Source organism: Homo sapiens, chromosome 4, assembly GCF_000001405.40.
Source record: "Homo sapiens chromosome 4, GRCh38.p14 Primary Assembly".
NCBI classification, from domain to species: Eukaryota; Metazoa; Chordata; class Mammalia; order Primates; family Hominidae; genus Homo; species Homo sapiens.
The window spans coordinates 104,016,429-104,033,602 of NC_000004.12; the positions used below are offsets into that span (position 1 = coordinate 104,016,429).

At 34.0% G+C, this 17,174-nt stretch overlaps 1 long non-coding RNA gene across 3 annotated transcripts in view; it reads left to right on the top strand.

Moving 5' to 3' along the window:
- The window catches only part of LINC02503 (long intergenic non-protein coding RNA 2503), a 75,942-nt gene that overhangs the window by 54,819 nt on the left and 3,949 nt on the right, over positions 1-17,174 (top strand). For all 3 annotated transcript variants that reach the window (NR_186772.1, NR_186770.1, NR_186771.1), the window contains one exon: positions 16,498-16,688. This is a non-coding gene — a long non-coding RNA (long intergenic non-protein coding RNA 2503). The remainder of the gene's footprint in view (positions 1-16,497; positions 16,689-17,174) is intronic.

Below are 17,174 nucleotides of genomic sequence, written 5' to 3' on the forward strand. Positions count from 1 at the left end.
CATTATTTATGAGTAAATATGAAAGAGATAATATGTAAAAAATAAGAGAAAGAGCAAGAGGTGGAGGGAGGAATTATTAATTAATTTAATTAAGTATACTCTTTTTGATATTCTACTTTATTAACTCTACTAATGTAAAAATATATCATTCCATTATTTACTTTCTTTTGAATCTTGTCTACCTCTTTAGGGGCATTAAATATTCAATTGTTGTGTGCTATTTAAATGTCAGCACTATAAGAATGGGGCTACATCTGTCTCATTTATTACTGTTTACATATTGACCACCTGCAACAGTGCCTGGCATATGGAAATAATTCATTTAATATTTATGGACTGCATCAATTTTATTTTGAGCACCTTTTCTAAGGTAAACCATTAGGAAAGAACAATGAAATGTGGCATAATGATAGGGCATCTTAATCTTAGGCTGTTCAGAAATTAAAATAATCTAGCCAGTTATTTATCGAAAACTTGCTCCATCATACCTGTTTGTATCTTGAAACACATAGCTCCCTCTTTTTGATGTATTACTTGTTGCAAAAGTTACCCAGTAAATAAAGATTCTTCTTGAGGGAAATCAGTGATCTGTCCCCCATCCTAAGATGTCATCACAAAAAATTGAAATGAAAATAGAAAGAAATTCCAGAAATAGCATCAACAATGCTATGCTTGTGCACTCTGAAAATTAGGAACTGGGTTCATGGTGCTTGGTTTATTTATTATAATTAATAAGTATTTTAAGTCCTTTTAGGAATACTAACTATTACATCCTAAAATGTTTTTCAAAAGAAAATGGAAAGGCTATAAAAAGGCATTTTAACCATTTTTATCCCTGATACTCCATTTCCTTTCATTTGTGGCTTACCCAGGATTTTGAAAGAAGAAAAGTAGGCTCTTCTGTTCCCATCATGGCAACTGTCTGATTAGCCTTTTAAATGCATTTGATATTGTACAGATATTGCTTCAGTATTTAGAGAAGAAAGACACTTTTGTCTCCCAGTGGAACTGTGATTGCTTTCTTCTTTGACAGTTTACAATATTGTTTTGTCTTTTGTTAAGCAAATCATTGGAAAATTATTTTTTGTGAAACATGAATGTGGTATTTAAGATTTATGATTGTGTCAGTTTTAATCCATATTTTAAAAATAAAACCCTCAGGAAAAGAGTATACCCTCACTAAATACATACCACAACTGATTTACTGACATAAATATATATTTGTAGTTAAAAATAATAATGTTTAAACATAAATTTAAAAACCTAGATCTTTCAATAGAGAGTTCAAAATCCTAGAAAATTCACAATAGCCTAAATATGGCATCAACCTAAATATCCATCAGTGGATATATCAATAATAAAAATGTGGTATATGTACCCAATGGAATACTATTTAGCAATAAAAAGGAATGACATCCTGTCATTCACAACAACACGGATGAGCCTGGAGGACATTTATGAGTGAAATATGCCAGGCATAGAAAGATAAATACCACAGGTTCTCCCTCATATGTGGAGGCTAAAAAAAATTGAGCTCATAGAAATGGAGAGTAAAGTTCTGGTTATTAGAGGCTGCGAAGGGTGGGAAAGAGGAGAGGCTAAAGAGGGGTTGGTTAGCTAATACAAAGTTAGGGTTAGATGGATGGAGTAAGTTATATTGTTCTGCAGCACTGTAGGATGGATATGGTTCACACTAATTTAGTATGGACTTTCAAAAAGCTAGAAGGGAGGATTTTGAATGTTCACAACAAAAAGAAATCATAAATATTCACGGTGGTAGATATGCTAATTAGCCAGATTTGATCATTACACTTTGTATACATGGACGGAAATGTCACTCTGTACCCCTTAAATATGTACAATTATTACTTGTCAACTACAAATAAAAGGAAATAAATAAATAAGCAGGGGATGGGAGACAATCTCAGAAGATTCTGGAAGGATGTTTGGTGCTGTAAAGTTGATTTTTAAGGATAACATGAAAGTTATAACTCAACTTCAGAGTTCTATCTCCCTTATCCAATACTTTCAGTGTGTAAAAAATAAAAGATGTCTGCACAAGCTTATTTACTTTAAAAATGTTTTTAGGAAGTTTCTCAAATGTGCCCAAGAGACTTTGGATATTAGTATCGGTAAACAGAAAAATGTTAACACTTTTATATTCTTAATGCATAGATGATTGTTGCTTTCAAGATTTTGCTTATATTTTGGGTAATTAACAAATTTATGCTACATTCCTTACTATCAACAAAGGAATTTATTTATATTCTTCACAATGTATCATTATTTTATCTAAATTTTCTGATTTTAAAAATAATTCAAAAAAGCATGCAGTAAGCAACACCTGGAATTTGAACTCTGCTAAGTAACAATAAAATCATGATTCGAATCATTTCTTTTTTTATATAAAAAGGATATTTAGATTGTAAATTTCATGTTGTGCCCTTTTCTTATTGATTGGTTGGTTGATTCAGGGACAGAGATATTATTAGAGGTAAGCATTATTTGAGACAAAATGATGAACAAAAACAGATTAAAATCTCTGCCCTTAACAATTTACATTGTAGTGGCAAATAACAACATATGTAATTAAATAGATATTACGTTACAAAATGGTAAGCAAGAAAGGGAAAAAAGAAATATATCCTGGCTGTATTGTTTACCAGCTAGGTGACTTTAGTCAAGAAACTTTCTCTAATGCCCAATTTTCTGCGTTTAAAATGGGCCTAATGCTTACTACAAATGGATGTCATAAAAAGTAAATGAGATAGTAAATATCAACCGCTTGACTAAGTGCTTGGTATATAGTTACATCTCAATTAAAATCATAATAAGTCATTTTAATTAGCAGTATCTAAAAACTTTCATTTAATTGGGGAGCAACAATATGAATTTTCAAACAGTGATTGATAGAGATGGATAGATAGGGAGTGTTAAAGGAGAAAAAGAAGTAAGGAATAATGTTATTTAGATGGATTCATGGATGTTATGGGTTTTAAACTGGATTTTACACAATTTTGGGGGGATGACTTGTTTTTTAAAAAATCATGGGTGAAGGGGAATTATATACATGAAAGGGTGGTGTGAGCACAGGTTTTCTTAAAAAAAATATGAAATACATACCATGGGAAAGAACAGTTAGGTGACATTCAGTACTAGGCCCTAGACCGATTCTTGATATTTTTTGCTGATAGAAAAAGGCACTTTCACTAAACAAGTGTTTTACCCCAAAAGATGTTAAAACAGAAATTGGTAACAGAGATATGCTAATTAGAAAAAAAAAACCTGAAAGACAAAGGCTGTGATAAAGCAAACATCTCTCTGTACACCGGAAGAGGAATCAATGTTAGGGTTACCAGAGAAGGCTGAATTCGCAAATCCCAGTAGACCTGGGATATCTCTACTCCAGTTAACTAGGACACGGACGGAAACTCTTCTCGAATTCCTGAGAGCAGTTCAACAAGGGCAATATTAGCCTTCAGTAGAGGAAGGTGACTACTGTATTCAGAAAGTCACAAAAACAGGGAGTCTACTTAAACAGTAAATAAAAACATTGTGTAATAAAGCTCAGTTTTAAGAAGAGTAGCACAGAGAATGCAAGGTAAAGAATGGAGGAGCAGAATGAGAATGAGGCAAAGGTGGGAATTCAGAAATAAGGCTAGTTTATTTTTCATAATTGGAGACTTGATTTACTTCAGAGTTTATGAGGATCATTTTTATTTCATTTATTTATTTAAGACAGAGTCTTGCTCTGTTGCCCAGGCTGGAGTGTAGTGGTGTGATCTCAGCTCACTGCAACCTCTGCCTCCAAGGTTCAAGCGATTATCCTGCCTCAGCCTCCTGAGTAGCTGGTATTACAGGCACCCGCCACCACACCTGGCTAATTTTTTGTATTTTTTTAGTAGAGACAGGGTTTCACCATGTTGGCCAGGCTGGTCTCAAACTCCTGACCTTGGGTGATACACCTGCCTCGGCCTCCCAAAGTGCTGGGATTACAAGCAAGAGCCACTGCACCCGGCTGTTTCTGAGAATTATTTAAGGGGGATTTGATCTGTTTTTCTAGAATATTTCTGAGGAGATAAGCCATTAGGTTGAGAGCCAGTGGTTCTCGCTGTGAAAAGGAAGGAAGAAGAGGCAGAGAAAATATTGGAATAACAAAAAGCTTTTGGACAGCAGAAAGAAAATGCAGTGAAAGGGTACATTCTCAGGCTAATTGAATATGTGAGGGTAACTAATTCAAAGAATAGACTTCCTAAATGAATAAGCTGGCCTACTAATTTTACAATCTCTACTTTATTCTCTACAAATTATAAAAGAGGACAACAGGCAAACCATAAGCCATTTTTGTCATCGCTCTTCCATATTCACAAATGTCTGCTTTTCATCTTTAGAGGACATCCATTGAGTGGCATCAGAGATCCATGGAATAAAAAACAAATTTTGTCTTAAAATATTAGAATATAATACTTCTATTATATTCTAAAATGTCAATAGTTTTTTTTAGTCTAGGAAGAGGATATAAAATTTAAGTGTTTTAGACAATACATTTTTTAGGATATTTCGTGGCATTAATTACCTACAATCTATGATAAATGAATACGAGAAATACTGTTAGATACCTGTGGCCAAAGCCACTATCTTATCCCTTGTCAAAGATATATACATTCATCTTTGATAATTAATTAAGGAATAAAGCAGTTTTAGTGTTTATGTAATTTGAAATTTTCTTAATGTAGGGATTTTTAAATACACCATAAATAGACATAGTTTGAATCAACCATTAGGTATTTGTTGAAAACTACTTTGGCTAGCATTAGGGGGAAACACAAAAAACAAAAAGCACAATAAGGTTAGGTTTTTGCCCTTGGGAATCTTAAAGCCTCTTGAGGAAAAAGACATATCACAGATACATGTGTGTGATATGAAAAACAATATACAATGTAATGTTATAGGGGTCCAAAAAAGTGAATGACTAACTTCACAGAAAAGAAGTATTCTTTAAACACAAAAATTTATAAACACACATATATAAATGTGTATATCTTAATTTCTATTTTGTTGCCTTTTGCTTCTGGAACTTCACCTCACTATTCTAAATTAAGAGCAACAGACATGAAGTGTCAGGCATCAGAGGATACAGGGAGTGACAAGAAGAGAAAGCCCTGAACCATACCCATACATAGACACAAGCTCACACACATGCACACAAACATAATAAAGAATACCCACTAAATATAAATGGTTAATAGATACCAGAATACTTAAATATGTGTGCACTTCAAAGCACTCTTACATTACATTATTGCAAAAAATAAAAAACATACATGCACACACACAATCATACATACAACACATGGAGAAATTGAATATATAAACAGACAATGGCCAAATCATATATAAAAGTGGAACTTTGAGTAGTTGGGCACTGTGAGCACGGCTGTCCCAGCTACTCTGGAGGTGGGCACCTGCTGTCCCAGCTACTCTGGAGGCTGAGACAGGAGCACTAAGTGAGCCCTGGAGTTTGAGTGAGGCTTGGGCAACATAGCAAGACCCCGTCTCTAAAAAAATAAAAATGAAATTGAGACCAATAACCTGCAGCAAACTGCTTAGGAAACTAACCTTTTATTCACAATAAACAAACCAGGAAACCAACCTGTTATAGGTCAGACTTGCAGGAATCTTGATTGTTCTCTCTGGTGACAATCCAAAAAGCTAAACAATAACTTCTGTAACAATCAGCTCAAATTGTCCAAGGCTTGATTAATAACTGACAGCTTCCCTAATTTTTGTCCCCAACTTCAACTTGGGGCCAGTCAGAGAAAGCCAAATATGTACTCCTAACCAATTACATAGGAGTCTCTGGATCTAGTTATCCTGTCTACAGTTTCCCCAGATCAACAGCCTCCAATCAGGATATACCCAAAGACTTTTTTCTTTTCCACTATAAAGCTTTCCCACTCCTCTGTCTGCCTTTGAGTGCCTGCCAAAATGAGAGTGACAGTGGCAGACTCCCTTGCTATAGCAAGTAAAGAATAAATAGCCTTTCCTTTTCTCATTTCGTTGGTTTTCATTTCTTCCCACAACACATTCACACACACATGCAAACTATGCAATATATGGTGTAAGTGCTCAGACACTCAAATTAAACTAGTATATATTCATTTGATGTTTATGCTTATTACGTTTGCAAATACTCTGTATAATTTAGAAGAAATACACATAAATTTATACAGAATTTATTTCATTAAATTACATATAAATTTCATGTTAATTACATATATGTATTATGCTACAAAAAGCAACATATGGGGTGTTAGTCTATCAAAAGTAATATTACATTCTTTGCCCAAAATATTTAGTTAGCATTTCTCAAGATACCAAACACACATACACACATACACATACACGCAGACACAAATTCTTGAAAGTTTTTCTCTTCCTTATTAAACCTCAGCCATTTGCCCTAGTCTTTCGCATTCACTAGGCCTCAACAAAGGCACTAAGTGCTTTCCAGAACATAGATTTAAATGAGGTCCCTGCCTAGAGGGCTTACAACCTAATTAGACAGAGACAGTTGACCAACATATGCCCACAGACTACAGTTGGCCACTTATTTATTCTCTAATTAACATAAAGCAGCAGGACAACAACTCTGCCTGTGCTCATTGAGCAGAGAACGTCTGTGTATGCTGTGGAACTCTGTGGGAAATGAGACTGCTGCTTTCTGTGGGGGTTTTCAGCACACATTCTCTCATTTCTTGCTTGTCTTCATAATTAATATTCCCGTGCATATCTTGCTGAGACTATATATGGCCAAGCAAACAGACCCTCATGGCACAGCACAACCGTTTACCTCAGCTGTCTTGATGATCAATACAGGCCACTAGATGGTTGATTTGATTGTTACATAGGAAACTCTATTGATATGACAGGCCACAGTAAACCAAAATAGTTTTACTATGCTTTAATTTAGCAGTTTCAGCCACACAAGAAAAGTTTTCACCTCATAGTGCTAGATTGTGAAGGTCTGGCGGCTTGTTTTTGCCTTTCCACTATCCTTCCTAAATACTACTGCAAGCTCTTTCCTGTTGGAAATTTTTCTCCATCTAGGCGTTTTCAAATCATTCTCAGAAGCATTTGAAGTGACATAAAACACAAACAGTGCCACACTACCTTAAAAAAATTAAGTATGTGAGTATATTATGATGTGAGGAATATAAGTACAGGAACAGATAAGGTTTGAGAAAAAGTTGGTACCTGAAATGCATGTGGAGAGCTTACAAGTATTTACTAGACAAAGTCCCACCATGAGAATGGTGAATGATTTTACTACTTGTTAACTGTTGACTCAGAGAGAAGAATGCAAACAAGAAAATAATATATATATTTCTAACTCCAGGAATAGAGCCAATGTGAAAAGGGATAAAGTGAATTTGTTTTTTAGTTCTAGATATTAAGTATTGCAAATTACTACCATCTAGTGCCTCCTTTAAAATTCTATGTAATGCTCTTGACCTGTGTAGTAACACTAGTTTATATCTTCTAGGAATAAGAGCCATGAGTTTTTCATCCTGTGGTTTTTAATTTGCTATTAGAAAGAGTGGTATGCTTCTTTTTTCCTTTTTGATATTGTTTCTCCCACTATTCTATATTATTTCTTAAAAAATAGTATAGGCATTGAAGAACATGATTTCTTATATTATTCTTTCTTTGTTAAATTTTAATATATTGAAACTCACACACAATTGCCATTGGACAATTACTCCACATCATTGCATTATTTTAAGTGTTTCTCAAATGAACTTGAAAATAATACAGTAGATAATTGAACAGTAAGCTCCTACAGCAGAAATTTTAGACTTATATACAAATATATTTTTCTATAAATTATAAATTTGTGGACTTACTGCTTAGTTGCTGAACTAAAGAAATATAGGCAGTCTCATTCAAAGTGTAGTTTAAGGAAGCTTTCAGAGCCAATGATATAAAGAAGGGCCTGCCTTCACAAGACAAGTGAACAGAAGGCCTGTGTCAAAATATAAAAATCTTTCTAACTCTCTATACAGTATAGCTTTTATTATAATTCCTTCTAAATACAGACCCAGAAACATTAGCATTATTGTTTTTACATGATAAGTTGAAGTGATATTATCAGACTAGCCACATTTCAGAATCTAGGTATTTTAGTAAATGTCTTTGATCTCAAACACTTTGCACTTTAGAAATAAATGGTCATTTTAGTCTGTTTGAATCAGATTGTTGGTTTCAATTTTTTCTTTCTCTATGCACCTGTGAACATGCTCACTACAGTGAAAATAAAATCCAAATTGAGACACATATCCAAAGTTAATGGAGTTTCACTTATTTCTTTACATCTGGAAATTGAAGCCATTTAGTTTTTGTTTGCTTTTATTCTTTTTCCCCTCTCTTCTCTCCCATCTTCCATTTCCATCATGGAAATTCCATGCAGCAAAACATGAAATTCCATCTGAGTTGATCTAACCTCAGGGCCTCCTCCAAGCTTGCTGGAGAATCAGTGCTCTGTCACCTCTGAGAATAGAATTTATTTTGGATTCTTGTATTACCTGCCTCTGGTAGTTGGACACTTGTTTGCTAACTGACTGACTTATTTTAACTTAAATATGATATAATTGTCCTTTATTGCAGGTTTGACTTTAGTACTTTTCAAATCATGACTAAATTGATATAGGTCAAGATATAGTGCACCATTCCCACTGAGTGAAGTACTTAACTCAAAATTTCGTGTAAAACTTATGAATCAAAGCTAGGAAATGCAGTTTAAAAAGAAATGGTAACAACTCGATTCTTAATATTCAGGTTCTAAAATTTTGTCATTTATCCAAAAACATGTCCTTAAGAAATAGTTATTTGCACATAATTGTAACTATCAGCAAATCAGCACAATAAAAATATAGTAGTTTTGTCAGCATCTGTAAGATTTAGTTGTTTGGACAGTACTTAATAAATAGAACTAGTATTTCTGGGTGCCTGCCAGTTGACCATCTGTCTAGGTTGTCCATGGAGAATCAGAACAACTGAACATTTTGGCACATCCAATTACATGGAGCAACTACCAAATCTGTCATAGGTTACAACAAAAGAGAATATTACCAAAAGATTGCATTAATTGATTTAATGTTGAGAATTTGGGGAACCTGGAGATACTCATGGGAACATCTCTGTGAGTCAGTAAGTTGAATAAAATGTAAATGAATTAAATAAAGGTCATCTTTCCTAAAGGTGTTTTTCTAGGCATTTTGAGACATACATGATAACATAATCCTTGCCCTCTATTGCATGTAAAATAACACATGAAATAAGATTTTCATTGCAAATATCTCTAAATGATATTGGTATTTTTGTTGTTAGAATGTTGAAATGGGAAAACTACTTCCACTTGGGGGTTAGGTTAGCACATGTGTTAAGTCCCAAATATGGGCATGCTTTTAAGAAAATGAAATTAGGGTTAAAGAAATACCAGGCAGAGAGAAAGGTTGACAAGGAACAATGAGGTGAGCTAAGGAATTAGAGAAAGCCATAATTGATTAACGAATCAGACTAGGGCCAAATCAAATTGAGTCATTAGTATCACCTTTAGAAATCTAGACTTAGGCCACAGAGAGCCAGTAAGGAATTTTAAGCAATGGAGACATAATATTTTGGTAGATTATAATGCACGAGAGAAAGTAGAGTTAGAAGAATCATAGAATAATACAACTTCAAAGAAATAGTACTTTCACTAGGGCAAATGGAGAGAGAAAGAGACAAGGTTAAGACAGAAGTGAAATAATTCGTTTGGATTTAGGTAAAGGGAAAATGATAAAAGATCAAGATGATTCTAATGTTTCTTAAAAGAAAGACACTGAACACTACTTCTACCTTCTTTTTAGTGATACGTCAAGATTCACCTACAAACATAGGTGTGTCAAAAATCTATGTAAACATGGCAGTTGCATAGCAAAGACATATCTATTTTCTTTCAAAACATTACTAAAATAACAATAAGACAATCAAATTGTGCCAGGCTACTATGACAAAGACTGGCTCAAGTGAAGCAGTAGCTTGGAAGAGAGGAAAGCAGTGATACAGACCCACCCAAGAGGCAGAAGTTAGAGTATTTGTGCTTACATGGAAGCTTATCAATGAGAAGTGTCCAATTTGCTTCACAGATCCATTGGAGGTCTAAGGCTTAAGGAACTTAAGTGGAAGGGATATGAGGATATAATTAAATGTTTATGTAGCTAACATTATGGTTTGACCAAATAGTTCCCTCTCTTTTTTATCTGGGCACAGGTAGGATTGTACTTCCTGAAACTGCCTGTGGGTGGGAGGGACCAGAAGATTCATCCTGGCTAATTAGATGTGGGATGAAATAACTTATTTAGGTCACTTCAAGTCAGAGGAAACAGTAGCCAATGTGAGACCCTCCAGAGACCTCTCTTCTCTACAGAATGGTTCCTAGCCAAATTTAAGATGATTGATGTTCCATCTTCATGAGTCCTTGAATGAGATGGAGAGAAATAAAACTCAGTATGTAATAGGCATATGGTATATTAAGAAATTATTTTTTTTCTTAAAGTTGAATATTTTGGGTTCTTTTTTACTATAGCAAAACTTATTCTAGTTTGACTGATACAATCTAGGTGTAGAACAAATAAGTGTCCCTCACTTTGCACAACTAGGAAATGACCCTCAACCTCAGGTTTATCTCTGGAGAAACTGAACTTAAAAGGTTCTCGCTTTGGAGGTATCAAATCTGAAGAGAGTAATAAGTTAAAAGACTGAAATGAAGGTCTTTTATATGAAATATACTACACTGAATCAAGGTGCCTTCTGCCACTACCCAGCAATAGAAAAACTGAGACATACAAATGTGTATTTGCCAGTGAAGGATATGAAGAATTCTCTGCAGTAACTGACCAGCCTGAAAGAATGGCCTATGGATACTGATACTAAAAAATGCTTTAACAAAAAGACCTACTCACAGCTTTATCATGTTATAGCAGGGCGTTTCCTGCTCCCTCCACAAACACCAACATTTGGTCAAATCAATAATAAAGAAAGAAATAACTTAAATTAGCAAGAAAAATAAAAAGGTTATAAAATATCCAAATGCATGGCAGGTATAAGGCATGGAAGGTATAAGGTTAGATTTTTTTTTTTTTTTTTGAGACAGAGTCTCACTCTGTCTCCAGGCTGGAGTACAGTGGTGTGATCTCGCCTCACTGCAACCTCTGCTTCCCAGGTTCAAGCAATTCTCCTGCCGCAGCCTCCCAAGTAGCTGGGACTACAGGCACATGCCACCACACCTAGCTAATTTTTGTATTTTTAGTAGAGATGGGGTTTCGCCACATTGGCCAGGATGAACTCGATCTCTTGACCTCATGATCTGCCCACCTCGGCCTCCCAAAGTGCTGGAATTACAGGCATGAGTGACCACGCCCAGCCAGATACTGTTTTATGAAAGTTTTTTTTTTTAGTATAGTTATATGTGTCCTTGTGTATATGTGATATGTATGTAAGAATAAGATTAAAAAATGTACTTATTATTGAGGCTTCTAGGTTTATCAAATACAAATCCAGGATGCTGAGGTAAATCTGACGGAGAATATATGTTTTAGAAATTAAAAAGATGATATCTAAAATTAAAAAAAAACAGTAGAAAAGTTCCAAGATTTAATTGAACAAACAACTCTGAAAGTAAAATAGAACAAAATGAGAGTAGAAAAAAATCCAAAATATACAGGAAATTAAAAGTCAATCCAGAGTAGGAAGTGTCACATATTTTCTAAGATCTGAAAGATAGAAAATTATCAAAGAAATAACAAAACAACACTCCAGAACTAAAACCATGAAACTTCAGATAGCGCCCCAAATTATAGAAGATAAGTTACCAATGTTAAATTATATTACTGTGAATTTTGTGAACATCAGAGATGTTCACAAAATCAGAGATAAAATAAAGGACCTCCAAATAATAGGAAGACTTGTGTGAGACAGAAGTTGAAGAATCTAAAAGAAATAAAAATTCTTAACTTAGCTAGAAAATAGTAGAGCAATGCCTACATATTCAGCAATCTAAATATTTTAAAATCTAGAATTTCTATACCCAAACTCTTTATCATTTGTGAGTTTGGTCAAAGAAATTAAAAAAGATATGAAGGTGTTAAAACATACTCACCTATGATACAAGAACACACTAAAACTTAGGAACCTAGGAAATAGACACCTAAGCTATGAAAGTGGTGACAAGAAATACCAGGTTGATGGCTTTGAGGCAGCAGACAATCTAGATTTAATCTAGATTGAAACAGGAATAAAAAAGGTTGCAGAAAAAGAGATGTTTAGTGGGGCAAATAAAACTGATCCATGCAAAAGAATAGTGTTCTCATTAAAAATCTGACATGTATAAGGCCATTGTTTCCGACAGACCAGATGACAAAGCCTGCAGAACTGACAAAACTGTCAAGGCATTTGAAAATATGAAGTATGTTCAACAGGTATTTGAAAAGTCTGCTGGCGTAGGAGGAAAATATCAATTGGATCATGAATGAATAAAAGGATGAAACATAAGCATTTAGTAGCTCCCTGGGAAAAAAATTTCTCAAATGAAACATAACATAAAACACTACTTGATTTAATGGTGAACAACATTTACATAGTCATAACAATATAAAATCTGGATATTGAGTTAATTAAACATTGTTCCACAACAGTATAGAAGGAAAGTGAGGGGAGGATCAATGTAAATGAACTAAATTCTTCTCTATCTTAACAGGAAGTCAACTGATATTATTATGGTAAATCAATAAATAGCAGTACAAATGTGCTGTTCTAAAAAGGGATAGACATACTAGAGTGAAAAACTAAAAGAACTGAAAGTGTTGGCCTCTGAAATGCAGAAATAGGGATAGAGATGATTGGTATTAAAATTGTCAATATCCTCTAATGTATTTAAACTACATACCATGTAATAATTGATGAGTTTGTCAAGGTATTTGTTTTTAACATAGCTTTTTTCCTAAATGCATTCAAATGCATTTTAGCAGGTGAATTTCCATAATTCTGCTATTCTGTGTAGATTATAGTCTTGGATAACAGGCAAATAGATATATAAATAATATATGAAGCCTTATTTTCTGCAAAATTTTAGTATTATATCTGCATTATTCAGTACTATATGGATATTATAATACCATTGTACTATATATGTGTGTATATGATTTATTGTATCTTTAGTTACTTATCTTCTGCATCTATAGAATGGTTGACTTCAGAATAAGTTAGAACATCCTTTTATCCTATGTAATGGGTAAGATATGGTTAAAATAATTCAAATAATGTCTTAGTCTGAATTTTGTATTATATTAATTTTAAGCTTCCTGATTAATTTTGCTATTCTATTCATATGTCAAATGAGTAGTGTTAATCATCTCTAATGATCTGTGTCTAGCCTCAACATACAATATCATATCCTGCAGTTGTAAGTCTTTGAACAATATATCCATGTAACAAACTGCCCTTGTACTCTTTAAATTTATGCAGATTAAAAAATATCAAGTAAATACAAGTAGAACATCAAAGTTGATCATTTACATTATTTACATTACATTGGACAAATCATTTACATAAAATCAAACAAATGATATTTTATTTGCAAATTTAGTTATATAAGAATGTCCTTGCTATAAGGTTTGTGTTAAGATCTTTCATATTGAATATATCCATTTAAATAGATTGTTATATTACTACTGCTCACACACACATATTATCTCTATTGACCTCAATAACATCTTTGGCATCTCTTCAATTGTCACAAAGCTTATCATGTTCACTTGCTGGCAATTTAGAGATTTCTAGCCTTTCCTTTGCATTAAATCTATAGCATTGACTTTTACTGACAAGTAAACTATATGTGACAGAATTTATTCTTTTATGTGTGCTATCTAAAATCTTATTCATACTAAACTTTATTTGCCCTTCACAAGTCATGGTTTGTGTATATATTAAAAGCCATAGTAGTGTACAAACCATCAGAATGTCCTGTGAAAATAGTTACATATATCTCTGAAATCTGTTCCTTTTACTCCATCCTACAACCACCATCCAGCCATCATCCCTCATTTGGACTACTGCAATAGTTCTATCAGCACTTAGAAACAGCTTTCACACATCCTGTTTCCTGTGGTTAGAAACTCATTTTTTGGTGTTTTAGCAATGGCAACAAAAGCCAAAATTGACAAATGGGATCTAACTAAACTAAAGAACTTCTGCACAGCAAAAGAAACTACCATCAGAGTGAACAGGCAACCTACAACATGGGAGAAAATTTTCACAACCTACTCATCTGACAAAGGGCTAATATCCAGAATCTACAATGAACTCAAACAAATTTACAAGAAAAAAACAATCAACCCCATGAAAAAGTGGGCAAAGGATATGAACAGACACTTCTCAAAAGAAGACATTTATGCAGCCAAAAGACACATGAAAAAATGCTCATCATCACTGGCCATCAGAGAAATGCAAATCAAAACCACAATGAGATACCATCTCACACCAGTTAGAATGGCGATCATTAAAAAGTCAGGAAACAACAGGTGCTGGAGAGGATGTGGAGAAATAGGAACACTTTTACACTGTTGGTGGGACTGTAAACTAGTTCAACCATTGTGGAAGTCAGTGTGGCGATTCCTCAGGGATCTAGAACTAGAAATACCATTTGACCCAGCCATCCCATTACTGGGAATATATCCAAAGGACTATAAATCATGCTGCTATAAGGACACATGCACACGTATGTTTATTGTGGCACTATTCAGGATAGCAAAGACTTGGAACCAACCCAAATGTCCAACAATGATAGACTGGATTAAGAAAATGTGGCACATATACACCATGAAATACTATGCAGCCATAAAAAATGATGAGTTCATGTCCTTTGTAGGGACATGGATGAAACTGGAAATCATCATTCTCAGTAAACTATCTCAAGGACAAAAAACCAAACACCGCATATTCTCACTCATAGGTGGGAAATGAACAATGAGAACACATGGACACAGGAAGGGGAATATCACACTCTGGGGACAGTTGTGGGGTGGGGGGAGGGGGGAGGGGGGAGGGATAGCATTAGGAGATATACCTAATGCTAAATGCCGAGTTACTGGGTGCAGCACACCGGCATGGCACATGTATACATATGTAACTAACCTGCACATTGTGAACATGTACCATAAAACTTAAAGTATAATAATAATAAAAAAAATAAAATAAATAAATAAATAAAAATAAAAAGAAACTCATTTTTTTTTCTGCCTTGTCAAGTTAAACTCACTGCTGTCATCTCAACAAAAGGATCATTTCCTGTCTCCTTGAACTGGTGAAATGCCTCTACTATATATTCTTGTAGTTACTGTTCACCTTTTTTGCAATATACTTGTTCCTAAAATATTTTGTTATAATTTGATTAACAGTCTTTAAAGTATGTATGTAGGGATTAGTGTTTACTCACCACATAAAGTTAATATGTATTCATTGAATCAATGGATGGTATAGTGAATATGTATGTTGGTTCTTAATCTTCTTATGACAAAGTTAAAATTAAAGTGAGTAGTGTTTTGACTTATTGTTGTAGGCAAATAAGTTTACTTGTTTTTCTAATATCTGGGCAAAATAAGTATATATCACAATCTAATCTGTGGATTTCCTTTATTTTTGTCATCACCCTGAGTATCCCATACTGTGTGACATTCATTAAAACCATTCTTTGTGTTTAAGTGATAAGCATCCTGAAAACATAACTTGAATAGATCAATTTGAATTTCGAAGAGCATCAAGCTGTGATCCTGAAAATCTTTCAAAGCCTTAGCCTTTTCTAGATTTGAGCATGCTGCCATCAATGAGAAGGTGGGGTTTATTTATACAATGGGCAAAAAAAGAATAGCTGGTTGAATGATTGCCATTCATCAAAGAGTGATTAAACCACTCCAGTATCTCCTGTGGGGATGAAGAAATGAATCTAATAGTTCTCTTCTTCTCAATAAACTTAAAAATTTTACAGAAGAAACAAGAATGATTCATAAAGTTATAATATGGAGTAGCAAGTGATACAGGTGCTCTAGTATTTGAGTACATAATATTGCCAGTTTTACTCAGTCTTTTCAAAAATATTCTTTTAGCAAAAATCACATTCCTGGTTTTGAATGTTCAGGGGCTCCTCCAGACTAGGAATCAGATCTAATTTAGGACTCCTATAAATTCTGTCCCATCTTTTACATTCTGGAATATTGTCAGCCTTCTCCATGTCTTTACATTTCTCTATCTTTAAAATAAAATTGATTGTTTTCATGGAATGGAGTCTGCCCACTGCTTTACATAATAAGTGCATGATATATTGTTTTAATTGAGTTTGCTGATCTGAATTTTATGGAATGCTCTCTCTTCCCTTCATAATTCTTTTTTGTATGTTTTCAGGGTAAATGCTGGAGGGGCTCCAATTTGGAAGTGTTACATTATCAAGTTAAATCATAAGAGCAATTTATAAAAGAGATAGCTTGGAATTAAACTACAAAAGCTGCTTAAGGTAAAATATGCGAGGGAACTCTCTTGTTGCCATTGTGAGACCCTGGAGAACAGATGGAACCAACTCTCAAGCTTCTGCTCGGGTACCTGCTGTTTAATTATACCCTAATTAATTAAAAGAAAGACTCCTACGTGGTTTCAGTAGTAGTGAGCGGGAGGGCAGTCAGAAAGAGATGCTTGAATTCAAACGACTTCCAAATTAAGACTAATAAGCTCAGGAAAGTAGTTACTACTTACTTATTGTTGTCATTTTCCAAAAGCAGCTATCACAACAAGCGATTGACCTTCTGACACCCCACAAATTGCAAAGTATATCTTCTTTTCAATGACCAAGTTCCAACAATATTTTATTAGAGTTCTAAGCAACACTACTAAATATCTAGAAAACATATGAGCACTTTCAAGACCATAGTAACACATATAAAATTAAATCTCAATGTGTGTTCCTTTAGTGGTCATTTCTTTTAAAAAATGCTTACACTCTTTACTTTGAGAAATTTGTTCCAAAAATACTATTTCCAGGTTGAGATTTTATCAAGTTAATTTCTCACCTGAGAAAACTTTCAATA